This window comes from Homo sapiens, chromosome 10 (assembly GCF_000001405.40).
Source record: "Homo sapiens chromosome 10, GRCh38.p14 Primary Assembly".
NCBI lineage: Eukaryota > Metazoa > Chordata > Mammalia > Primates > Hominidae > Homo > Homo sapiens.
Window position 1 is genome coordinate 23811233 of NC_000010.11, and position 26813 is coordinate 23838045.

Below are 26813 nucleotides of genomic sequence, written 5' to 3' on the forward strand. Positions count from 1 at the left end.
TATATATATTATATATAGTATATATAATATAGTATCTATATATAGATTATACATAGCATATATAGTATGTGTATATATTATATATAGAGGGAGTATGTATATAGTATATGGACTAGAATTATGCATCCAAATTTTGGGGGGCAAGAAAGAAGGGAGTGGGACTGGAGAGGGAAAAAAGGGGAACTCAGTTTTGGCCAAAATGCTCCATTTCTAAATAGAAACTAAAATTACAGTAAAAGTTACATTATATTAAGATATGTTCATTCTTAGTTATAGGATTTTCTTTAGTCAAGTGTATTTTAGACTTTTTTAAAAATGCAATTTTAAAAAAGGGAGGAAAGCTAATCCTTACTGCAATGTGAGGATGAGAAAGGGGAAGGGGAAGCTGGAATTAGATGTACAACTTGGGAAATGACTGCACTCTTCCAAGCAAGAGATGGTGAAGGCAAGAACCAGGGCGATGGCAGTGGGAGACTGGAACATGAATGCTAGAGACACTCAAGAGGTGGAATTATAAGACCCTGCTGATGGCCTGGATCTGGACAGGGGGAAGTGAGCAGACTCAGGGGATTCTCAGGTTTCTAAACCTGCTTTCTAAGAGGATGCTGTGCCATATGCTTTCTGAGATGTGGAAATAGAAGAGGTGTGCATTTGGTATAGCAATAACGGGGAGGAATGGAGGATGAAAATATTATTTAACACTTAAGCTTGACGGGGTAGTGCATGCCTACAGTCCCAGCTGTTTGGGGGGCTGAGGTGAGGGGATCGCTTGAGCCCAGGAAGTTGAGGCTGCAGTGAGCTGTGTTTGTGTCACTGCACTCCAGCCTGGGTGACAAAGTAAGACCCTGTCTCAAAACGAAAACAAACAAAAAACCCACTTAAGTTTGAGATATTATGGGAAACCCAGCTGGATGTTTCCATAAGACAATTGGAAATACAGATCTGATTTAGTAGACACTTATATTAAGTGATGAAGTTACATATGATTGCTTAAAAAAGATAATGAAGTAAGAAATGATAATACACATTCCATGCTTTTGCTAGTGTTATGACAGAATATATGTATAATCTATAATTAGTTGTATATACACAGTCACATTATTACTTCTAGCATGAGTTAGAGTTAATTCATGTGAATGCCTTAAAAACAAAGGATTTACTTTATTTGGTATCTTTGATTGTATTTGGCACAGGCCATAGTAGGAGCTTGGAATAGGGTTAATAGATGAAATAATGAAACTAATTATTATTGTTTCTTTTTTTTTATTTAAAAAAGCTAGCTCTATTGAAATAGTATAAAATTCACATTACATACAAGTTACTCATTTAAAGTGCACAATTCAGTAGTTTTTGGTGTATTCCCAGAGTTGTGCAACCATCACCACCATCAATCTTAGAACATTTTCATCACCCCAAAGAGAAACCCTGTGCCCACTGGCTGTGACACCCAACACTGCCTCCCATCAATTTTCTACTCCAGCACTAGTTTACCATTCACTTATTTTCTTTCACAGTAGATTTGTCTATTCTAGATAATTTTATAGATGGAATCACGCAGTATGTGGTTTTTTGTGTGTGTGTGATTGGCTTATTTTACTTAGCATAACATTTTCAAGGTTTCTTCTTGGGTTGTTTCCATTTCTTGGCTATTATGAGTAATGCTGTTATGAACATTCATGTGCAACTTTTTGTGTGGACCTATGTTTTTCTCTCTTGGGTGTAAACATAGGAAAGGAATTGCTGGGTCTATGGTAACTATGTTTAACCATTGAGGACTGCCTGACTGTTTTCCAAAGAGGCTACACCATGTTACATGTTCACCAGCAGCATAGAAGGTTTCAAAGTCTCTACATTCTCTGTAGTACTTGTTATTATCTGACTTTTTGATGATAGCATCCTAGTGTGTGTTAAGTGCTATCTCCTTGTGGTTTGGGTTTGTTTTTCTCTGATGGCTCATCATGTTGAACATCTTGAGCCTATTGGCCATTTGTGTGTCTTCTTTGGACAACTATCAGCTTCTTTGCCCTTAAAACTAGGTTATTTGTCTTTATATCATTGTAATAATTCTTTATGTATTATATATAAAATTCTCTTATAAGGTACCTGATTTGCAAAATAAATAATTCCTTTTTTTGCTATTTTTTTGTTTTGTGTCACTATAGTCCTTTTTATGCACATAAACCTTGTCCTGTCCTATTCTTTTCTTTCTCTCTGTAATTATCTATCTTTAAATAAGATCTTTATGTATGTAATGGTTTGATCCTGTTTTTCTCACTTAAAATTTTATAGTAAAATTTTTCCCATATTATTCAAAATATTTGGAAAATATTTATAAAATGGCTATAAATCCTACTATGTAATTTATGTACCATAATGTATTTAATTGTTTTTATATTCTTGCACACTTGTAAAGTATTTTCAATATTGTGGTATTATTATTAAGGGCTAAAACACATGTGTAAATACATGTTGATCCAAATACCTAAGTCTATCCCTAGAATGGGTTCTAGTTAAGAAGTAGAGTAACTGGGTCCAAGACCATAAACATCTTTCTAGACTGCATGCAAATTGTTTTCCAGAAAGTGCGTCAGTTCACACTCTTCTAGTAAGTGCCTGTTTCATTATGTCCTTATCAACACTGTGTTATTTTTAATCAAGTAGTAACTGTGTGAACATTTCTCCTTGATGCCCAGACCCTGCATTTACTTAATGCTGAGCCCGTAGCTGTCAATTCAGGATGATGCAGTTCGCTCAGGAAGTCATAAGTTCTGACAAAGCTTTCACAGTAGTATATCCATGACTTTTTGGTGACTTCAAAATTCACTTAAAGAGACATAAAACAATTACCAGGTCATTAGCAGTCACTTTTTAAAAGGAGCCCCCAAAAAATTATCTCTGAGAGAGATGGCTTCTGAGCTGGTGTTTTATTTTGCAGGGCAGGGAGGGGGATGCCAAGAGGAATAGTTGACAAAAAGGAACAATTTAAAGGCAAGCATTAGAGTTATGGGAGGAATGAGTGGATCATTCTGCTCCTATATCTGGGTAATCTCCTCGAGGGCAGGGACTCCAGCTTACTCCTACAATGTGGGACACTTAACAGCACAGACTCCAGATGAGCAGATCAGTGTTGGAATCCAGGTGTTCCTATTTCCTGGCTGAGTGATCTTGGGTCTGCCTTAATTGCACATGAAGCACTTAGCACAGCTAAGAGCATGCTAGCTTCTCAATATATGTTAGCTATTTCCCATGACTGTTCACTCAGTATCCCTAACTGGACAGCAAGCATTGGGGATGACCCAAACAAGCACTCAACATAAGTATTAAATGAACAAGTTATGGGAAAACTTTTTAAAAATTTGCTTGGAAGAAACGTTTCAGTTTTCTGTAGGATGAGCCACTCACAATCCACCATTTTAAAATTAATCCTCCTCATGTTTGAAATTGTCCTATGCTCTTATCCAGTTAGGTTTCCTCAGTAAGATTTTACTTTGAAATAAACCATTATGTGTAGCATGACATTTTTCTGTTCTTGCAGGGATATGCATTGTTCTTTATTTCTGTTATTTTAAATCATTTAGTAGATAACCAAAAAAAAAAATCACTTAAGAGTCTGATTTAATCAAGAAGCAGAGGATGAAGTGTGAAAGATCCAGTGTTTTTCTGATCCTCAGTTTTGTTGAAGGCTGCAAAAAGGTATCAATTAAGTGACCTTTCCAGGTCAGGATTTTATGGCTCTGATAAATTCCCCAGGCTTAGCACTTGTCAGGGAAGACATGCAAGTGAAAATATGAAGATTCTTTCTCTCTAACTACATCTTTCCAATGAGTAGATGAGATCATGGATTTGCAAGTGCCTCAAGAAAAGTTTTATAAATCTAAAACATTATTATTATTATTATCTTGTTGTGATAACAGCACAAAAAATGAAGAACTTAAAATTGAGGCAAAGGTTTTTTTTTAAAATCATTTTGTAACATCTTACAGCTAGACAGATTGTTACAGATTTTGTGGTCCCAAGCTCTCACTTTTACAGATGAAAAAAAAGCATAAAATTGCTTAAGATGACATCATTTAAAACAAAAGTCTTGTTACTCTACAGAAAGACAGTGGATGGTAAAATTTAATAATTTAGGCTGGGCGCGGTGGCTCACGCCTGTAATCCCAGCACTTTGGGAGGCCGAGGTGGGCGGATCACAAAGTCAGGAGATCCAGACCATCCTGGCTAACACGGTGAAACCCCGTCTCTACTAAAAATACAAAAAATTAGCTGGGCGTGGTGGCAGGCGCCTGTAGTCCCAGCTACTCAGGAGGCTGAGGCAGGAGAATGACGTGAACCTGGGAGGCAGAGCTTGCAGTGAGCTGAGATCAGGCCACTGCACTCCAGCCTGGGCGACAGAGCAAGACTCCATCTCAAAAAACAAAAGCAAAAACAAAAAAATTTAATAATTTAAAATATTCTTAGATGACTACATTATTTATCCCCACAATGCAAAGAAAATACAAACTTATATTCACATATTTCATGTATAATGAGTTTGAGTGCATTTTAAATGTTATTGTCCCAAGGTAAATTTTAAAAATCTGAAATAAGAAATTTCGTTTACGAAGTCTTTAGTGGAGTCGATTCTTTTGGTGTTTGGAAAATGTTTTTGCTGCATAAGCAGGGCAAAGTTTAAATTCTCCAAGCTTACTGCAATTTACCACATAGCCCTTTCCTTCAGAGAACTGCTTACAGGAAGGTACTGTCTTCCCTGGATGTTAAGTTACATTGAAATTAATAAAAGTTAATGAAGTCTTTTAGGAACTCCCTGTCTTTCCTGTGAGGTGCCATATTTAAAGTTAAGCTACTCCCCTTAAGCAAAACTTCAAGAATGTTATTTCCTGGTAACCAGCATTTGCGTTACCTTGAGCTGTAAAGGTCCCCTCTGCAAGGCATTGAGTGACATTTTGAATACACACAAAGCAGTACTAGGTTACAATTTTTTCTTTTTTGCAAACATTACTTTGATCCTTAGGGGAAGTAGTTTCCCATGCTCACATTTCTTTTTGTTGTTGTTGTTGTTTGTTTGTTTGTTTGTTTGAGGCGGAATCTCCTCTGTTGCCCAGGCTGGAGTGCAGTGGTGCTATCTCGGCTCACTGCAACCTCCACCTCCTGGGTTCAAGCAATTCTCCTGCCTCAGCCTCCCAAGTAGCTGGGATTACAGGCACCTGCCACCATACCCGGCTAATTTTTGTATTTTTAGTACAGATGAGGTTTCACCATATTGGCCAGTCTTGTCTCAAACTCCTGGCCGGGTGCGGTGGCTCATGCTATAATCCTAGCACTTTGGGAGGCCTAGGCAGGTGGATCACTTGAGGTCAGGAGTTCACTTTTTGATAATACTGTATTTAAAACACAATTCTCCTTTGTTCAACTCTATTTGGAAGAAATGAAGAGTGAAGAGTGATGGTGTGAGAAATCTAAATCACTTTAGGGAGCTCTAGAATACACTATATTTTATCATTATAATTGGAAGGGCAATTGGACAAATGGTTAGAGATTGACATTTCTGCATTGTTTATCACTAACTGGAGAGGCATAGTCAGAAGGAGAATGGTGGAAATCGGCCTTTGGGCACTATTCTTTGTGCAACAGAGCAGGGCTCATAGAAATTCTGGGAAACAAGCAAGGCAAAGAGAAGGAAGTGGAAAAAAGGATGACTCTGCTGTTCTCAGGCTGCAGCATATACTGCTATCCCTGCTGCCAAGAATTTGAAATAACAATGAGCAGTGCAGAATATGTATTGCAGAAGTACTTGACATCAGATAATCCGCATAGTTGGAAAGTAAGATGTTTCCTTTCCCCTTGCAAAAAAGGCAAAGTGCTAGTTCTTCCAAAAGCCATACTCTAAGAGTATTATATAATATTCATTTTAAATGATTTGAAGTAATTTTAATTGGTACTTACCTGGGAGGCTATATCACTCTTCATTTCACCGTCTCAAAATGGCATAGTGAATTGCCTCTCATTGGCAGTTGCGACAGTAGGATAAGACAGGATGATATATACAAATGACTTCTTCTTCAGAAGAATCCATCCAGAAGAATTGTCAAATTATTTTTAAATGGCTATAGTTCTTATTGAAACATTGCAAGAGAAGTTTAAAGTCTTCACTTGCATTGTTTGACATTGTTATTTGGCAATTCTATCATAAAATCCTGGAACGTTTGAGCTGGGATATACTTCAGGTGCTTTCTTTTCAAAACTCTCACCTTTTCCAAATGAGATAAGAGAGATCCAGAGAGGCTAGGTAACTTGAGGAATAAACTCCAGGATAAAAGAAGTTGTCAGAAATCCAAAAGATCACAGTTTTTATAACTATGAAGAAGACAGAAGGGTGTCTAAGATCTCTTCAATATCAACAGATAGGAAATTGGAGGTCAGAGTAATGGAAAGAAGGGAACAGGTTTTTGAGAGAAGAAACATTTCAATGACTTTGGTTACGGTGTTACAGAAATAGTACTAGTCTCATTTTGAGGTGTTTGACAGAAGAGTTTTTGGATGACAGTAATGCAGTTTTTGTATATGAAATATAGGGCCAGATGTGGTGGCTCATACTTGTAATCCCAACATTTTGGCAGGTTGAGGCAGGAGGATTGCTTGAGGCCAGGGGTTCAAGAACAGTCTAGACAACATAGCTAGACTCTGTCTCTACAAAAAATTAAAAAATTATAGCTTGGTGTGGTGGCACATATATATATATATATATATATATATATATATATATATATATATATACACACATATATATACACACATATATATACATATATATACACATATATATACATATATATATACACACACACATATAGATATACATACACACACACACACACATATATATATATACTCACACACACATAAAGTTTCAAACCATGAAGACAAATTGCCATGTACGATGACATCAATAAAGGTATTAGGTAAGACATATTTTTTTTGCATCTATAGGCAAAACTTTATATATTATACATAATATATATTTTATATGTAATATATAATATGTTATATATTTATATGTTATATATAAATTATATATATATAACACTATATATATATTTTATATATATATATAAAAAAATATATATATATATATATATAGCCATGCTCCCATTCTGAACAACTAACTGGGAAGGGCTAAAAGGGACTAATTAGACCCAAAGTGAAAAATATTTTGCATTTATTTAAACCCTACATTTTGAGTAACTCATATTTTCCAGATTCCCTGTTGGTAGTAGCCCCAGCAAGAGGAAGGAATATAAAGGAAGAGTCAGCAATCTTCACCTCTGTGATTTGGATACAGAAACCAGGACTCCAGGCATTCAGCGACAGAAACCAAAACCCACTTCCGTCTGCCCCAGAGCACCTTCTTGCTCCTTAGTGCTTGTTTGATCACAGCACAGGCGACCAGAATCAGCAGGGGAGCATGAAGGGCCTTGGTTGCCTTGGCAATAATTTGTCCTTTGGCAGGGCTTAAGGAAGTGGGAAGGGTTGGGGGAAAGGGTCAGCCACACTCTTGAAGAAATCACAGCTCTGTAAGCTCTCTTGACAAATGTCATGACCTGGTGACTATTTCCTTGCCCTGTGAGGAATTTCTGATAGCCCTGAGATTATTTTGCAGCTCTTAGTCTCAACAAAACAAAGATGTGAGCTCATAATGATCACATCTTAATAAAATCTCCCTTATGTACATAATGTGTTTAAAATGATTGTCATTATGCTGGTTCATATTACTTTATTCATAGAAATTATAGTGTTCCATTTTAAAGTGTGGATTATTTGCATGATATTAAAGCAATCTTTAAATTGATTAAGAAAGCAATTGAGGAATTGTTGAGCAGGCTTTCTGTGGAAAAGGGTGCTGATGGCACCTCATATTCACTCTCTCCTTCTTTCTTGGGAGCAGAATCTCTATTTTAGCAGGGAACATGGCCACCATGATAAAAGACTGCATTGTCCAGGTTCCTTGCAGTCAGATAGGGCCACATGACTAGGTTCTAGCTAAGACAATGTAAGCAGAACTGTTGTTTGGGTCCTCCAAGAGGTCTTCTTGAAAGAGAGGAGTGTGCCCTTTCTCTACCTCTTCTCCTTCTGAATTCAGGGGAGATAGCTGGAATTCAGGATCAACCTTGAACCTGAATGTAATAAGGGAAAGATATGGAGCAGTGAGAGATGACGTGGACTGCTGACACCAGTGAGCTCCACACCAGCTTTGGCCCCCCTGCTGCTGGACTTCTTTAGGTGACAGAAAAATAAATGTAATTCTCATTAACTTGGAGATCACCAGATACATTCAGCTGAATGCAAACCTAAATAATATAGATCTTAAAATAGTATGCAAACACTTAGCTCCTGTAGGAAAATCATCAAGCAAAAAGTTTTGCCCATAGACACAAAAAATATGTCTTACCTAATACTTTTCTGATGCCATTGTACATGGCAATTTGTCTTGGTGATTTGAAACTTTTTGTGTCGTAACATTGAATTTTTGAACCAGATTTCCCTTTATATGCTATATGGAGCCTTGGGAGAAATACCAGACCAGTAGTTCAGGAGCTTGAATTCAGTGCCACCTGAGTCATTTTTTTAGCGCTATGCTCTTGAATAAGCCATCCTGATCTCAGTTTCTCTCCGTGTAAAATAAAACTTCTGGACTAAACAATTCTCTAAGCTCTAAAGATCTATAAATGTATGATAGTGCCTATTTCTTTTTAAAACCACTAAAACTGATTCTGGGCCCTAGTCATACATGTAAATATATGTGCACAAATACAGAGTATCTGGTATATGTACAGAATTATTCAACTTTTTATTACGTAGGGTATGTGTGTATTGGGGGGAGGACCACAAAGCTCATCGTCAAAGAGTCTACATTTTAATTGTGTAGAAAATGAGGCAAACATCGAAGCATAAAATTCTGAGTAAATCCTGTTTCCTGACTCCTAGTTCAACACTGTCTCTTCTATTTCATATCCCTTATCTCACAGAGCTTCACATATTAAACGGACAGAGGCCTACTAGCTCTGTGGTTTACAGAACTCTTTTAAAATTCCAACAATTTTGTTTAATGCCATGAAATACAGTTCTACTCTATGATTACCCATGTGAGACTAATCCACTTGCTATGATAACAGTCATTCAACCTCTCTCTAATTAACATTAACTGTGCTTCATCTCACTTTTAAAGCTATATATCCATGAGGGCAAAATATTCTATTGTTCACTGAATACCCACGTATTAAAACAATTAATGGAACAATTAAACCAGAAAACATTTTTATGGAGGAAGTGAGTTTTGATCCAGAGTTTTAGGGAGGTGATAAATGTGGGTTGTCAGAGAAGTGAGGAGGTTGCCTTAAAGGGCGTGAATGTTATTTGCAAAGACATCAGGCTGTGGATGATCAGCAGCACAAGGCAGATGGTACAAGGTGGGGCTAAAGAGAGTGGGATCTCAGAGCTTTCCTGCTGTTCCTTTGCTGCCTTGGCTTTCTTATTAGCATGAAATACTTGCTTTATGCCCAGTGTTTGTTTGGAGTTGGATGGCACTCATGTAGAAGAGAGATGGATAAGAATATGATGCTGGTGGAAGTAATTTTAAAGATGAAGAGCAGAGAATGGCAAAATCATCGCTGTAAGAATGTGCCCCCTTTGTACAAGAGATATTCCATTTGCATATTTAGGTTTCATGCTTCATTGTGTGCTTATGTTGTGTGGGTGAGATAAAGTTGCAGAAGGAACTTAGCATTGCCTGACTTGTGAAAATTAAGTCAGCCGTGTCTTTCCACTAATAAAGTATCTTCATGGGCTTAATTTTCTTGCAGCTGTGTGTGTGCGTGTGTGTGTGTGTGTGTGTGTGTGTGTGTGTGATACTAAGTGAAGAGAAAGTAAATAGGCAGTGTATTTATTGCAAGCAATGTGTTTACCTGCATGTATCATCACTGAAATTATCAGTTATTAGAAGTGGAAAGTCATGTGTTTTAAGTGTCAGTTCCAGTCAACTTCTTTTGCAGCACAAACCTGCCCAACAGGGTCATGATGGTTCCTAAGCACTGATTTGGACATGGTCACAGGAATACAGCACAAGAATAAAGCCCCATGTTCAGGTGGCACAGGCTGCAGCAAACTAGACTGGCCAACTCAAAAGAATGCATGCAAACCACAAATCAGAGTGAGCACTGGTTTGTGTTTTCTAAGAGAGGCATGGAAGCAACTCTTCTTCCTGGGCCATATTCCAAAGGTCAAACACAAATGATGGGGAAAACCTTGAGAAGCAGAAGGAAGCAGGGCCTTTCCCACTTGGCCCTTCTTTTAATAGCCAGTTTCTTGGATTCCTTTCCTCATGCTCCTCCATCTACCGATTCACACATACACATATAGTTGGCATGAATTTGCTCCACAACAAATACAAAAACATTGCATTGCTTTACATTTCTATATGTAATAAAAATCTGTTTTTGCCTGTTAGTTAGGTTTTACCTCTGACACCCAACATCAGTCATAGTGGGAGGCCTGTTTACCTGAGGGTGGCTTAAGAGTCTCATGGTGTTCTGCAGTTCAAAAAATTAGGAAGGGGCCTCCAGCTCTTTCGGCCATCAGGATCACTGCTGAGATGCGTGTTGTCCAAACCCTTGGGGCCTAAGCCACCAAAGGAGGTACTTCTCCCACTGCATGGAATGTGGCCATCATCTTCCGTGTCTCCTGAAGCCCCTGCTGCTTGTGTTCAGGCTACAGCTACTCAGACCATCCCATCAGATCTCCTAGACAATAAGTAAGAGCGGGTGCAGGCACCACAGCTCCACACATTCACCACTCATCTCCTTACTCAGTTCCCACTCATTTTCATTTCCTAAACTCAAAACTATAGTCTCCATCCCTTTCCTGTCAGGAAAGACTCACCCTAACTCATCTCTTTAGTTTGTAACAGACTCCAAAGCCTGCATAGGGCTTTTTTCAGGTTTCTGGCAGTTTCTGTTTTCAACTCATGAACCTAAAAGTTCTGGAAGCCCTAAACTCAGAACTCAAGGGGCTGTGCTACCTAGAAAAAGGACTGATAATTTTGCCTTATATATGTTTGGATCTGATTGCAGTAGCAGAAACAAGACATAAACTTTATTTTAATAAATTATCTTGAACACACACATATCAGAGTGGGAATTTGTGCCAATAGGGAGCAGACAAACAGGAATTTTTTGACTTGTGGAAAATTTGCAAAATTGATATTTGTCTTTATTATTGTTGCTGATGTTGTTTTGTGTTAGAAGGAGCAAGACTTTTCTTAAGGTCAATTTGACTGATAAGTCAATAGGCAGAATCAACAGGTTGTTTCTGCATCACAGACCTACAAACCTCTCGTTCCATTTGTCAGATTGGGGTAATTGTACTTCCATTCTGGTGGTGTGGTAGAGAACATTATGTCCCTTGATTGCTTAAAGAAACAAAATGCTTTGCTTAAGTCTCCCACAAGGATGGAGAGGTATTTAGCACAGAGTTTTTCCCACAGAGTTTTGTAAGAATAAGAATGAATCAAGTATTTACAATAATGATATGTATCTTGAGAATGAGCCCCTCTAGATTACTAAGTTTATCCTTTGATCTGAAAACATAACAATGATTGAAAAATCAATTAGCACATATACCATATGTCTAAATTTAGCCTAAATTAAAGATGAGGGAAGCACTTTTTTATTAGGAGTTATTAACCTATGTGTCCCCAAATTAAGCAGGATTTAATAGAATTTATGCTTGCATTCATTTTTTATTGCTACAGTAACAAATTGCCTGTGAGATAATAAATAAATGTCTTAAGCATGCTTCACCTGGGTCCTCTGCTTAGAGTCATGCTTCACCTGGATCCTCTGCTTAGAGTCTCACAAGGCCCAAGCCAAGGTGTTGGCAGGGCTGTGTTCCATTCTGGAGGCTTTGGGGGAGATCCACTTCTAAGCACATTCAGGTTGTTGGGAGAATTCGGTTCGTTACGGTTGTAGGACTGAGGTCCTGCTTCCTTGCCTGCTCTCAGGACAGCTGGGGACCACCCTTGGCTCCCAGAGGCTCCCTCTGATCCTTGCCCATGGGCTGCTCCATCATGTGATTTCCTCCATCTCAGAGCCAGCAAAAGTTTGAGTCCTTCTTACGCTTAGAATCTCTGACTTCCTCTTTTGCTGCATCTCTTCTGCCCCTAGAAGAGATGGCAGAGAAAGGTCTCCACCTTTAAGGGCTCATGTAAGTGGAATGGGCTCACCTAGGTAATCCAGGATAACTCCCTCAAAATCTGTAACTTTAATGACATCTGCAAAGTCCCTCTTGCCATGTAATAAAACATATTCATAGGTTCCAGGGATTAGGGCGTGGATATGTTTGGCAGGGGGTTTGGCCTACCAAGATGCCTTTTCGTAGAAAAATGAATATAAAACATTAAACCCCCCTACTTTTAAGTTAGAAAACAAAGAATATAAAAGTATTCAATAAGAGTGACTAAAATATCAAAACTTTGTTTTAGTTCGGGGTAATGGCAAGTTGGGATGGGCCTGATAGAATGGAGGGAATATGAAATCTAGAAGGAAGATTTTTGTTTTAAAAAGGGGTGGAAGGGAAGTAGAAAGTTGCATAGATGGAGAAGAAAAGAGCCACAGAAAGACAAAGAGGGAGGAAGAAGAGAGGGGGGGAAAGGAAGGGAAGGAACTGAAAAGAAAGGCAGAGGGTTGATGAAAGAGGAGGGACACACCGGGCATGGTGGCTCACACCTGTAATCCCAGCACTTTGGAAGGCCAAGGCAGGTGGACAACTTGAGCCCAGGAGTTCAACACCAGCCTGGGAAATACAGTGAAACCCCATCTCTACAAAAAATACAAAAAATTAGCCCAGCGTGTTGGTGCACACCTATGGTCCCAGCTACTTGGGAGGCTGAAGTGGGAGGATCACTTGATCTGGGGGTGGTAGAGGTTGTACTGAGCTGAGATCATGCCACTGTACTGCAGACTGAGTGACAGGAGTTAAGACCCTGTCTCAAAAAATATATAAATAAATAAAAAGAGGAGGGACATTGTATAAAGGCTAAGAAAGATACATAAAGATATGTAGGCCGGGCGCGGTGGCTCACGCCTGTAATCCCAGCGCTTTGGGAGGTCGAGGTGGGCAGACGATGAGGTCAGGAGTTTGAGACCAGCCTGACCAACATGGTGAAACCCCGTCTCTACTAAAAATACAAAAATTAGCTCAGCATGGTGACATGGGCCTCTAATCCCAGCTACTCAGGAGGCTGAGGCAGGAGAATTGCTTGAACCCGGGAGGCAGAGGTTGCAGTGAGCTGAGATGGCGCCATTGCACTCCAGCCTGGGCAACAAGAGTGAAACTCTGTCTCAAGAAAAAAAAAAAAAAAAAAATAAAAAAAATATATATATATATATATATATATGTATATATGATATGTAAAGGAGAAAACAGGTAAAAGAAGGCATGTGAAGAAGAAGAAAGTGTAGAGGGCTTTAAAGTGAAGGTTAACTGAAGGTCCTGTGGTGTGTAGGGCATTTATCATCTATTGGGGTAACATATTCTCTAATTTTCCTAAGACAGCTCCAGATTACGCTAATTATCCTGGCATATTTACTAGTGGCATCCTTTTCACTCTCATAAATGTCCTGATTTGGACAAGGTATTACATAGTAATCCTTCCTTAATATGGCTCCATTTGAAAGGTACATTATCTGCTTACCATTTTTTGCAGTGTTTAAGATGTTATCGGGAACATCTGCTCCACATGGTTTGGTCTCAATTCAGCAAAATGCATGAAATTTATCAGTGACTGACTGAGGTCCTTGAATCAAGTTTCCAATTCCTGCACGCACCTTTTGTTTCTATTTGTCTCTGACATTCACAGTCTGCAAACCCTATTAGTGGTATTAGAAAACGTCTGCATCTTTTCTTTTAAGTTAATTTTCTTTCTCCACTTGTAATATATCATTGCATAACACATAGTTTAAAGTGTAATCCTATGCTTTTTGGTGGGAGAAAAATGAACGCTCATTATCTCTTAGATGTTAACTCAGAACATACTTTCTTGTATTTTAGTTTTTTTACATTAAAATGTCAGCTTTTCCTTATCTTTGCATCCTCTTTAAATGGTTTAAACTCTTAGAAGTTACATTCTTGTTTGCATGCTAATTAATCTATATTGATGAACATATATGTAAATAATAGTGATAAATAAAAGAGCATCTGACCAATAGAAAAGCTAACTGGCTTTAATGAGACTGTATTTCAGATTGATTTTGGTTATTAAACCACATACAGTGCTCTTGCCTTCCAGTAATTACACTAAGCAGAACTGGTTATTTGATGATGAGACAGTTTCCATTTTGGTTTAAGTAAAATTGATTTCCATGAACTACAGTTTAGTTCTGAATAATATATGCGTTATTCTGGATTGCTAAGCACTTAGGAAATAGTGGATAAGAGAAATATTCAATTCGCCACAGATGAAAATAACAGTAAAAAAATAGTGGTAAAACGTGGATTTTTGAGTCATGCAGACTGAGATCCAATGCTGACTTTGTTCCTTAGGAACTGGAAGACCTCGCACAAGTCACTCATTCTTTCTGACACTCGGTGTTTTTATGGGCAAAATGGGGTTAGCAGTATCAACCTGGGGTGGTGGGGAGGAATGTGATGCAGATTAAATGAGATTGCTGAGAAATAACCAGCCCAGTTTCTGGTACACAGAGATAAAAAATTGTTAGTTACCATCTCCTTGCCTCCTGGGGTGGCCAGTATGCTAGTATGTTAACCTCAGCCTCTGCATCCAACTTTAACCTGAACCCTAACTTTGTGATGTAAGAGTGAGTTGAGTCTATCTAGATTTAACATTCTTTTATATTGCACTAGTTATGTTTGAATTTTTTTTTCAGTTACACCCTCCAGGTCTACTAAAAAAAAGTGTAAGTAGTTAATATGATTATTTTCTAAAGCAATAATAAAAATGCTTTTTAAAAAGATTAGAAATTTGAAATTTTATAACAGGTTTAGAAAACAGTAGCATCTTATTATTTACATTAGATTTGACATGTCAATAGCAAATGATACTTTATTGTAGTTCAAAGGTTTTACCACTAAGAACTTGATAATTATTCTTCTCAAAAGTAAGCTGGGCATGGTAGCATGTGCCTGCAGTCATAGCTACTCGGGAGGCTGAGAGGATAGAATCGCTTGAGCCCAGCTAGGAGTTCGATAAAAGAAAACAGCCTTGACTGGTGATTTGAAAGCACCGTCAAAACTCCCTGCATTTCCTTTGGTGCTTGGTTTATGACTCCTCCTCAGAGATGCTCTTGTCCATGGTGCTGACCTCCTGATTCAAGCTGTGGATGGAGTTCAAGTAGCGGACGGCCAGGGTGTCCCTTCCATGCTGGGAACATAAGGAGCGTCCTGTGGTGTGTAGTTGCTGTTCTTCTGTGTTCAGTCTGTTGTAACTTTAAAGCTCTTCTTCGACTCCTCAAATGCTCCAAGGGCTATCATATTCTCGGTTACTATTCTGTAAACTCCCCACATGCAATGTTCTGTTTCATGCTGTGGGTCAGAGCTTCGTGAACTGTTTCTCTGGTCCAACTCACTCATGGTTGTTGAGAGTCAAGTCCCCTATAGTGATATCTTCACTCATTCATTCCATAAAATTTTACTGCCCTTTTATGTAGACTCTTGTCATGGGCACTATGGACAAATAAAAGGTGAATATGACTTAGTCCCTGACTTTTAGATACTTAGAATCTGGTGAGAGGTGAAGAGGGAGATCAGCACACAAATTCAGGAAAGTGAGGCAGAATTAAGTAACTTTATAGGACAGGTGCAGTGTGAACCTATAGTGATTCTCAACCCTGACTACACATCGGAATCACCTGTAGGGCTTTGAAACATCCTGCCACACATGCTTCATCCCAAACAAATTCAGAAGCTCTGGGAATAAGGAGTGAAGGCATCAGTGTTTTTAAAGCTGATTCCAGTAATTCAATGTGAAGACAAAGTTGAGAACCACTGGCCTAAGGAAGAGCCTGAAAAACTTTCACTGGCTCTGTGGCAGGCTGATAGTAAAATCTTAGGTACCTTTGTTTCCATTGATTTCTTGCACCTGTCCTTATATTATTATTGGACTTTGATGTCCCTTACTTTCGTGTTGATAGGGAACATGTGTAATTAGTATATACTCAATAAACGTTTGTTTGTGGATAGATGAATACCCATTCTTAATGCTTCCTTCTTTTTAACAGCAAACATTTATTGAGCATCTACTATGCCTCAGGCACTGTACTGAGTAGTGGGAACAGAGCAGTAAGGACGATTGTGTCTCTGCCTGGATGCCTTGTGTTTCTCACATTGCATCTTCCCCTCCAGCAGAACTATCTGGGGAGCTTGTTAACAGAGCAGGCTCTTGAATTCCTCCTCAGCCTATTGACTAAGTCTTTGAGGGTGAACTTCAGTAATCTCTGCTCACAAGCCGCCGGTATGATTCCTGTGTGCACGACAGCCTGAAATTGCTGAGTAACGGCACATGCAAAGCCATGACAACAAGACAAAGACAAATGAAGAGGGCTGTTGGTGTCACATCAGAAAGGGTGACTTCCCCTGGGGGGAGGTGGCCTCTAGGTGGTCTTAAAGGATGACTGTTTGCCCAGGGAAAGAATGGGAAGGAAAGTACTTCAGGCCCAAGGAAGATGACCTGTGAAGTCACAGAGACACAGTGAATACAGCATGTTGTGGAGAATTGAGCCAGATTGTGAAGAGCCTTTTGTAATTTTAAGCTAATTAACGCTTATTGATTTTCTGCAATGTTTTAAGTCCTGTGCACAAAGACGGTAATAAACTGCTCAAGGAACAGGGTGTTCCTGGGTCTGGCTCTGAGCCCTTGTTTAGTTCGGAGCTATGCCAAACTCTGAAAATCTCCCCAAAACACAGAAGCCTTCTTGATTCCTGGTGTTATAAAACCATACCTAATTGTGCCAGTGTCCCTGGGAGATAGGCATAGAGTTCTAGCTTGGGTAGCCAGGAACACATCCTCTGATACAGCAATAGCAGATGGAGTAGGGACTCCCTGCTCTCCAAACTTCTAGAAGCTCTAGAAGGAGGCAGAGTCTGGTTTGAGAGGGTGGGCATGGGAGTTGTTTCAGACACTCTAGGAGGTCATGGCTGGTGATCCTATTACATTGATAGTTTGGTTTTATAACACCGTGAATGCCAGGCTATCAACATTATGAGTAAAATTGGCTTTGGTAGCCTAACCTGGAGTTCTAACCACTTATAACTTTTTGTCTAAAAGAGGAAGCTGTGTTCCAAAAGCTAAATGTTTTTGATTAACAATAGTTATGTATGGGTTGCTTAAAAGCATCTGTCCTCCAATGCTCTGAGCTTTACATTTGCTTCTTGTTACTACTTATTTGTTTTTCTCACCAACCCTCTAAGATATGCTGTATGATTACATCTGTTTCTACAGATTGTGTGGCTTGGGAGTGACAGAGTTGGGATTTCAACCTAGGTGCATGTAATTATTAGAAACTGAGTGTATAGCAACTATGCCAGGCCATTCTTGGAATGAGGCTTTTTCTTAAACTGGTGGATTTTCTCTGCCTTTTTGTTAAATACTTTACATATATATCTCACAGTTTCTGTAGGGGTTTTGTTGAGTAATTAAGGTAAGGCAAATTGAAAGTATATAAAATGCCCCAGATTAAACAGGAAAAAAGATATTACCCTCTTACTTCTGTCCTATGACATACATTGATATATGCAAAATCCCTTTTCCTAAGCACTTTTGCTTAAGGATGCCAGATAAAGGGATAAGGAAATATAACACTATTCAATTTGGCAGGAATCACAGCTAAGGTTGAATATCACATTACTTTGCTGCAAAGAGCATTTTCAGATACATTGGCTGTAGGAAGATTATGATTCTGCAAAACAAAATGTGGAAGAATAGGATGAAATTGATTGAGTTATGAAAACAATTATTATATCTATTCACTTATCATCTAATTTCCCGTTACCTGGATAATTACTGGACACTTGAATCACAGTCTACACACTAACCAACTGATGGCCCACAGAACCTAGAGGAAGGCAAACTCTCAGCTCTGTTATTCGTCTTCTCCATGGGAAAAATATTGACACTGCTTTGGTGAAAACTTACAGTTCAAATATACAAAAGGAGAAAACTGCAGAAACAAAATCCCTTCACAGTGATCTGGAATTTCAGTAAGATTCAGATATGATATATTTGCTCCTTTTTATTAGAAAGATTTGATTATTTGCACATTTATAATTTTTTGCATGACTCACTATTTAATCCAAGTGTTTTATGTTTATTCACTGGGTAGTCTAAACATGTTCTCTCTTTCCAAACTATTATCAGTCATCACAGTCATTTGATATGATTCAGTTATATCCTATTATTTAAACAATCCTCTACTGACTGCCTTCTGTGTACTCAGTATTACATACGTAATCTTTTTGTACATGTGGTAATCTTGGATAGCAAGGGGTTAACAATGCCTTGCATAGTTGTTAGGCATTTCAAAATATTTATAGTGAAGATATGAATGCACATGACCTCTTAGTAAATAGAAATTAATTGAGCTCATGTTGTGAAACTAAATAAATTAGTGGGAAGAAAAATGGTAGGGCTTACTAGCGGAAGTAATTAGATCAAAGAATTCTCTGTTGTACTAAGTTGCCTCTGTTTGTTTCTGAATGGCTGCTAATGTTTAAATCTCTGGGCTGCCAAATTTGTGCTATTTTGCCAACAACATTTTCTCTACTCCAAGTGTTACTGGAAAGCTAATCAGAGGCAGTAATTGATTTAATGACAGAATGATTCAATAGTTGCAATCTTCCATAAAATATCCCCTTTTTTGGGTAAGGTAAATTATCAATTTATAGATCTTCTCAGAAAAGCAGTTCTTTTTGCTCCCTTAAAAAGAAGAATTCTTTGCAGTCAAATTTGTTTGGGGATAGAATGTTTCACCTATTTTGTGCTGGAGCATAAACACAGTCCTTCGTTGACAGTGAAGTCTCTCTTGATTCGGTTGTCCTGCATAATAATTACATGGCTGCTTAAAATGGCATGTAATCAAAATGACACAATCTTGATAAAAGACGACCGTGTCCAGGGCTCTCTGAGAAGAATTTAATAGTAGAATTTTTGTGTTTGGCCGTTGCTGTGATAAACAGTCTAGGGTTTTGCTTTTAAGAGCCTTCTGTCTCTCTGAACTGCCTTTCTTAGCTCCTAGCTTCAGTAGTTGATGAACAACACACAGTTTCCTCCCTTGCAGGTATGTGTGGCATGAAAGAAAGAGAGAGAGAAAGGGAGACAGTGATGATAGGGAGACAGATGATAGACGATTGATAGAAAATGAGAAATCATAGGTAGGTAGGTAGGTAGGTAGGTAGGTAGGTAGGTAGGTAGATAGATAGGTAGATAGATAGCTAGATAGACAGATAGATGATTGCTGGAATGGGGAATAATAGAAGATACATAAAAGAAAATAGATAGGTGATAGAGATAGAGATATATGTGTACACACACACACACACACACACACACACTCACTCACATATACCTGCTTAATGACCAGAAAAAGTACAAAACAGATGTGAAACTGCAGATTTCATGTTAAAGCTAGAAGTCTCTCCAAATGCCCACAGGTATTGAGTATGACACAGCATTTGCAGTAAAGGAAAGGATTCGGGTGAGCAGGAGGCAGCATCCTGCAGAGCCCTGAGCTGAGTTGACCTCCAATTCTAGAACTTGTCTTCTCTACTGACTCCTGAATAATTACCAGCTTCCCCACCCCAGCCTTGCCAAGCAGCAGAAATTAGACCCTTATCTCGTGCTACACACAAAAATCAACTCAAAATGAATTAAAGAGTTCAAACAGGGGAAATTGACATAGACAATGATTTTGTGGATATGAACCCCAAAGTGTAGGCAACACAAAAAAATATAGATAAATGGGACTACATGAAACTGAAAAGCTTTTACACAGAAAAAAAAAAATGGAAAACCAAAAAACAAACAAACAAACAAAAAGAGTAAAAAGATGGCCTATGGATGGGGAGAAAATATTGGCAAATGAACCATACATCCAAAAAGGAGTTAGTATCCAAAATACATAAGGAATTCAAACAACTCGATAGCCCATTAAAAGAAAGGGCAAATAACTTGAATAGACATTTTCCAAATGAAGACATACACATGGGATACAACATACAACAGGGATTTCCTTGGTGTTTGCATGCCAACAGTGTTGCTCAGTTGTCCCACAGCTTCCAACTTGTACGTTTAAATAATTGTATTAGGAATGTAATATGTGTATTAATGATAAAATTTGAGTAGTACAGAGATGATAATACATAAAATAAATATCTCCTCCCCTAACCATATCTTGATCTCCCATTTCTGGTTTTCATTCTTCTTGTGGTTATATTTATAATAATATCCAGGTGATATGTATAAATGTCTACCTTTTGAGCTATCAACCTTAAATAGTATACATTGCTTCCCTGATATGAAAGATGTGGAATTTAGCATACTTGTACTATTTCTTCCACTTCTAAAGAAGGTTTTGTTCTCACTAATGATTGATTTTATAACTCTATTGAGAGATAGGAAAAAGCAAAGTGTTTTTTCTACCCTCATGCACCACTCAACACAGAACACTTCTGTGACCAGATGTGTGCAGATTTTTCCCAGTGGACAATTCTCTAGTGGACACCAACTGGGTATCCTACAATTCCATTCAACTCTGGTGCTATCTACCTGGAGATAGTGTCAGATCTCTCAGGTTGAGAGCCCAGTCCCACAAGACTTCTCTCCGCCACTTCAGATACCAATAGCAAATAGCAGATTGTCACTTATACTTCTGACTAACAAGCAACAAAGCAGGTTCCTGTGACACTTCCTTGGGTTTGATTAATTTCTGGGATGTCTCACAGAACTCAGGGAAACACAATTACTGGTCTATTATAAAGATTATAAAAGATGCAGATACCTCAGATGAAGAGGTGCATAGGGCAAGGTATGGAGGAAGGGTGCAGAGATCTCATGCCCTCTCTGGGCACACCGCACTCCCGGAACTTCCATGTTTTCACCAACCAGGAAGCTTTCTGAGCCCTGTCCTTTCTGGATTTTATGGAGACTTCATTGCATAAGGATGTTTGATTACATCACTGGCCATTGGTGATCATTCAATACTGTCCTCTCTCCTGAAGCGCAGGAGTAGGGCTGAAAGTTCCAACCCTCTAATAACATGGTTGGTTTCCCTGGCAGCCACCTCCCCATCCTAGGGGCTCCCAGTTATCAGTTGTCTTGTTATTATGCAAAAGAAGACTCATTATTCCACAGATTACAAGGGTTTTAGGAGCTGTATCCCAGGGACCAGGGGCAGAGATCAAATATATATTTCTCATTTTATCACAATATCACAACTCTAGTAATATATGTGTATTAGTCCATTTTCATGCTGCTGATAAAGACATACCTGAGATTAGGCAATTTACAAAAGAAAGAGGTTTAATGGACTTACAGTTCCATGTGGCTGGGAAGGCCTCACAATCATGGCAGAAGGCGAAAGGAAGATAAAAGAAGAGAGCTTGTGCAGGAAAACTCCCTTTTTGAAAAACGTCCGATCTCATGAGACTTATTCACTATCATGAGAACAGCAGGGAAAGAACTGCCCCCATGATTCAATTACCTCCCACCCGGTCCCTCCCACAAGACATGGGAATTCAAGATGAGATTTGGGTGGGGACACAGCCAAACCATATCAATACTTAAATCTATTTTTCTTAATATATCAACCTTAGGCTTTATATCTAGACTCCAGTATATCTGTAAAATGGAGATAGTAATAACACCTATTTTATAAGGCTGTTATGATAATTAAATGAGAGAATCCATTTAAAGGACCTAGCAAAAGCTTGGCTTACAGTGAGTTCTCAATTAATTTAGCTGTTATTCATTGAGGACAGTTAACTAATTGCCTCAAGCTTCATCCCCTCACAACTTTCACTGAACAACCACAGCCTCAGTCAGCAGAGTGTGACTGTGATTGCCTGTAATCACAGCTACTCAGGAGGCTGAGGCAGGAGAATTGCTTGAACCCAGGAGATGGAGGTTGCAGTGAGCCAAGATCATGCCACTGCACTCTAGGCTGGATGACAGAGTGAGACTGTCTAAAAAAAAAAAAAAAAACTAAGTAAACCATTATCTTTCCTTAGCATTTTGATGTTTCTCTACTATTTCCTGATTGCTGTAGTTGCTGATGAAAAAATACAGTCTAACATCACACTTCACATCTTAATAGTCTCTCTTTCATCTTCATTTTCTTGTTTACAGTTTCAATACTTCTGTCTCTAGTTTTGTATTTATTTTTATTTAACTTTTTTGGTACTTAGGGCCTATTTCCATTCAATATCTTTCTATAATTCTTGGAAATTCTTACCTACTACTCTTCAAATGTTGCCTTGGTAGTCTTTCCCTAGATCCTGGAATTTCTATTAGATAAGTGATATAACCTCTCAGTCTGTGCCCTTTTATTTTTAAATATATATTTTTTATTTCTAATATGTCAAAACAGATCTTTAAAAAATCTGCTTTTCTTGTTTTATTGCCATCAGTTTTGTTTCATAGTTTATTGTTGTGGGTGGTTTATAAACATAGTTTATATGGATTTCATGTCTTCATTTATCTCCCTTTAAAGTTTGTTTTGACTGTTTCATAAAATAAATTAAATTCCAAGTCTAGAGAATTCATGTTCCTACTGTTGATGTTTTTGGCTGTCTTTGCTAGGATTAGTCTTATATTTGTGTTTTGAAATTTAGATTCATAGGCTCATTTTGAGTGAGAAAATCTTGCTTTTTATTTTGTTTTATCTTTTCTATCTGCTCACCCCTGGGCTCCTAGTTCAGAACCAGATCTTATTATGTTTTGAACTTTCTGATCTGTGGTAACTTAGGAATGTTGCCCTTCCACTTTGGCTCAATTCCTAGACACAAAGCTTTTCCTCCATGTATGCATGCATGCTTACTTTCTTATCAGCCAACTATTTCAAATAAAGGTGCAGCACCCAATGTCAGGTTTATTCATTACTTTTATAATATTTATTGAGTTACCAGTATATTCTAGGCATTATTCTAAGTCCTGGAGGTTTAGCTGTAAACAAAACATAGTCTCTTCCCTCATGAGCTGACATTCTAGTGGAAGAGAGAGACGATAAAAAATAAACATGCCATATGTAAGAAGATGGTTAAGTACTATGGAGAAAAAAGAAAGAAAAATGAGGAATTTGGGGTCAGTGTTAACTCATAAAAATGATGAGAGAAATCTTCATTAAAATGGCAAGGGGGCAGTGTGGCTGGAATGAAGAAAGGAACAGGTAGAAGCAATGGAGGTGATGAGAAGGAGTTTGAAGATAAAACTAAATGGATTGCATGTGGGTTATGATAGAAGAATCAAGGACAACTCCAATAATTGTGTTCTGCAGGATTGGTTGCCATTTACTAAGATGGTGAGGACTGTAGGAGGAGATTTGTGCCATGGAGGGGTGGCAGGTGGGGGCACAGAGCAAGAATTCAGCATTCAGACGTATTCATAAAATAAATTTGAATAAACATTCAAATCACTGTTTTGTAAGTAGTCACTTGAAATGACTATCAAATATCCAAGTGGAGATGTGGAGTAGGAAGTTGAACAAATGCTCTGGCATTTGGGAAAGACGTCTAGGCTGGGAGTTGGGATATGGGGTAATTGGGCCATGGGACTGAATGAAGTCATGGAGGGAGAGAATGTCATAAGAGAAGAAAATAAACAGTTCTGAGGGCCAGGTTCTGAGTTATGCCTAGATTTAGAGGTGGGAGATATGAAGAGGATCTAAGAGAGATGGAGAATAAGTCAGTGAACTAGAGAAGAACTAGGAAGGAGTGTCATTCAGGAACCCAAGTGAAGAAAGACTTTCAAGAGGAGAAAGAAAGAAACCAGACCAGATGCTAATAGTAGAAAAAAGAATATGAAGGCTGAAATGTAAAGTGAAACTCATTGGTAAACTTCTCAAAAATGGAGTGATTTTTTTTTGGCTTATCTGAGAAGGGGGAACCCTCCTCAATCTTTGAGGCATATTTATTCCCAGGAGATAACCCCTCCACCCCCTGCTAGCATCTGCATTAGTACCTGGCAGGTCTGTGACCTGAGGCATTGATGTTTCTGCCCTTTTCCTTATCCAAGGTGATAATTATTTCTTTGAAAGTCTGGCTATGTTGTTTTTATTTGCTCTTTTTCTATTTGGTCACATTGGTATGTGTTTAGAGCAGTGAGAGTATGAAAAAGTATGAATTTACTGTACCATTTTGACTGAAATTTCTTTCTGCCACACCTTTAATGTCTTCAGTAAGTGTTCCTTTTATCTTCTAGCCTCACCTGGGTCACCATTAAGAATATGATTTTTTTTTTCTATCCCATTTCACATATAGCCAAGTTGGCGGTGAAATTGATGTCTCATCACACCACACTGCCATGAGAAGTCATTTCTCCTTCCTTTATGAGTATTTCATTTGCTATATCTCCCTCTGTTCCTCCTAGTTTTTGTTGTTTTTTAAGCTCCTCCTGGGAACTCCTGTTATGGGATGGATTGTGTCCCCCCAAAATTCATGTTGAAGTAACCCTCAGTACCATAAGAATGTGACTGAGTTGGATATAGGGTCTTTAAAGAAGTTACTAAGTTAAAATGGGGTCATTATTGTCTACTTTCATTCAATGTATTTCTATTATTCTTGGAAATTCTTACATACTGTACTTCAAATGTTGCTTTAGTAGTCTTTCCCTAGATTCTGGAATTTCTATTAGATAAGTGATATAACCTATCAGTCTGTGCCTTTTTGTTTTTAAATGTATATTTTTTATTTCTAATATGTCAAAACAGATCTTTTAAAAACCTACTTTTCTTGTTTTATTGCCATGTTTTGTTTCGTAGTTTATTGTTATGGGTAGTTTATAAGCATAGTTTATATGGATTTTATGTCTTCATTTATCTCCCTGGGCCCTACTCCAATATGACTGATATCCTTATAACAAGAGGAAGTGAGAACACACACACAGAGAAGGAGGACCATGTGAAGACACAGGGAGCAGACCGCCATGCAGGAGCCAAGGAGGGAGGCCTCAGAACAAACCTCCTCTGCCAATACCTTGATCTGGGACTTCTAGCCTCCAGAACTGCTTTTTTTTTTTTTTTTTACTTTGTATAAATGTAAGAGGTACAAATGCAATTTACTTACATGTATATATTGCATAGCAATGAGGTCTTGGTTTTTAGTGTATCCATCATTAGAATAACGCACATTTTAGGCCAGGCTCAGTTGCTCATGCCTGTAATCCCAGCACTTTGGGAAGCCGAGGCGGGAGGATTGCTGGAACACAGGAGTTCAAGACCAGCCTGGGCAACATAATGAGACCCCCGTCTCCACAAAAAATAAAAAAAAAAATTAGCCGTGTATGGTAGCACACACCTGTGGTCCCAGCTACTCAGGAGTCTGAGGTGAGGAGGATTGCTTGAGCCTGGGATGTCAATGAGCTGTGATCGTGTCACTGCACTCTAGCCTGGGTGACAGAGTGAGACCCTGTGGGAAGGAAGGAAGGGAGGGAGGGAGGGAGGGAGGGAATGAATAAGGTACATTGTGCCCATGAAGTAATTTCTCATTCCCCACCTCTCATATGCCCAGCAACCCCTCCAAATCTCACGTGTCTATAATTCCACACTCTATGTTCATGTATGCACATTATTTAGCTCCTCCTTATAAGCGAGAACATGCCGTGTTTGACTTTCTGTTTCTGAGTTGTTTTGCTTAATATAATGGCTTCCAGGTCCTTCCATGATGCTACAAATGATAAAATTTCAGACTTTTTTATGGCAGCCTCTAGGACTGTGAGATAAATTTCTCTTGTTCAGGCCACCCATTCTGTGGCACTTTCTTATGATGGACCTAGCAAAGTAATATGCCCAATTCATTCACAGATTTTTGCACCTGGTTCTCAGATTTTCTTTCAACCCAGTTCCCTGCCTTCTTCCCGGATGACTTCAATGTCCAGAGAAATGGTTCATTCAAGACCTTAGTAATTTAATAATCCCCAAGGTTCTTCTTCACTCTTCCAGAGCCATGCACCCCAAGGACATTCTTTGGTTTTCACTCAGAACTGTTTCACTATTGAAATGACACATTCACCTTTCCAGCAATCTCAGTCATTTTTTCTTTTTTGAGATGGGATCTTGCTCTGTCACCTAGGCTGGAGTGCAGTGGCATGATCATGGCTCATTGCAGCCTCAACTTCCTGGGCTGAATCAGTCCTCCCATCTCAGCCTCTCCAGTAGCTAGAACTACAGGCATGTGCCACTATGCTTGGCTAATTTTGTTGTTGTTTATTTTTTTTAGAGATGGGGTCTCACTGTGTTGCCTCGACTGATCTTGAACTCCTGGGCTCAATTGATCCACCCACCTCTGTCTCCCAAAATGTTGGGATTGCAGGCATAAGCCACCACATATGGCCAATTATTTTTAATGTACTGGTTCTTTAACCACTTCGTCATACTGGCTGTTATCTTCTAGATGTTCTCCCTGTATATAGGGCAACTATTTTCGTGAATTTCTCCCACCTTGCTTAGCCTGCATGACCCATTCCTTCAACAAAACTCTGCCAGCAGCCCTAACCCTCTTGTCCTTTTGTCTTTCTGCTGCATCTTCTCAGCAAACCT

The 26813-nt window shown here is 38.6% G+C and overlaps 1 protein-coding gene across 1 annotated transcript in view, besides 1 other annotated feature; it reads left to right on the forward strand.

Moving 5' to 3' along the window:
- KIAA1217 overlaps positions 1–26813 on the forward strand; it is an 853117-nt gene that overhangs the window by 116506 nt on the left and 709798 nt on the right. The gene's annotated exons all lie outside the window — the stretch shown is intronic.
- Positions 13039–13218: a silencer, noted in NCBI's record as "fragment chr10:24113200-24113379 (GRCh37/hg19 assembly coordinates)". NCBI's record gives its function as "represses an EF-1alpha promoter that drives an FKBP-Casp9 reporter gene in an ReSE screen in K562 erythroleukemia cells {active_cell/tissue: K562}" and the evidence as "EXISTENCE:reporter gene assay evidence [ECO:0000049][PMID:32094911]".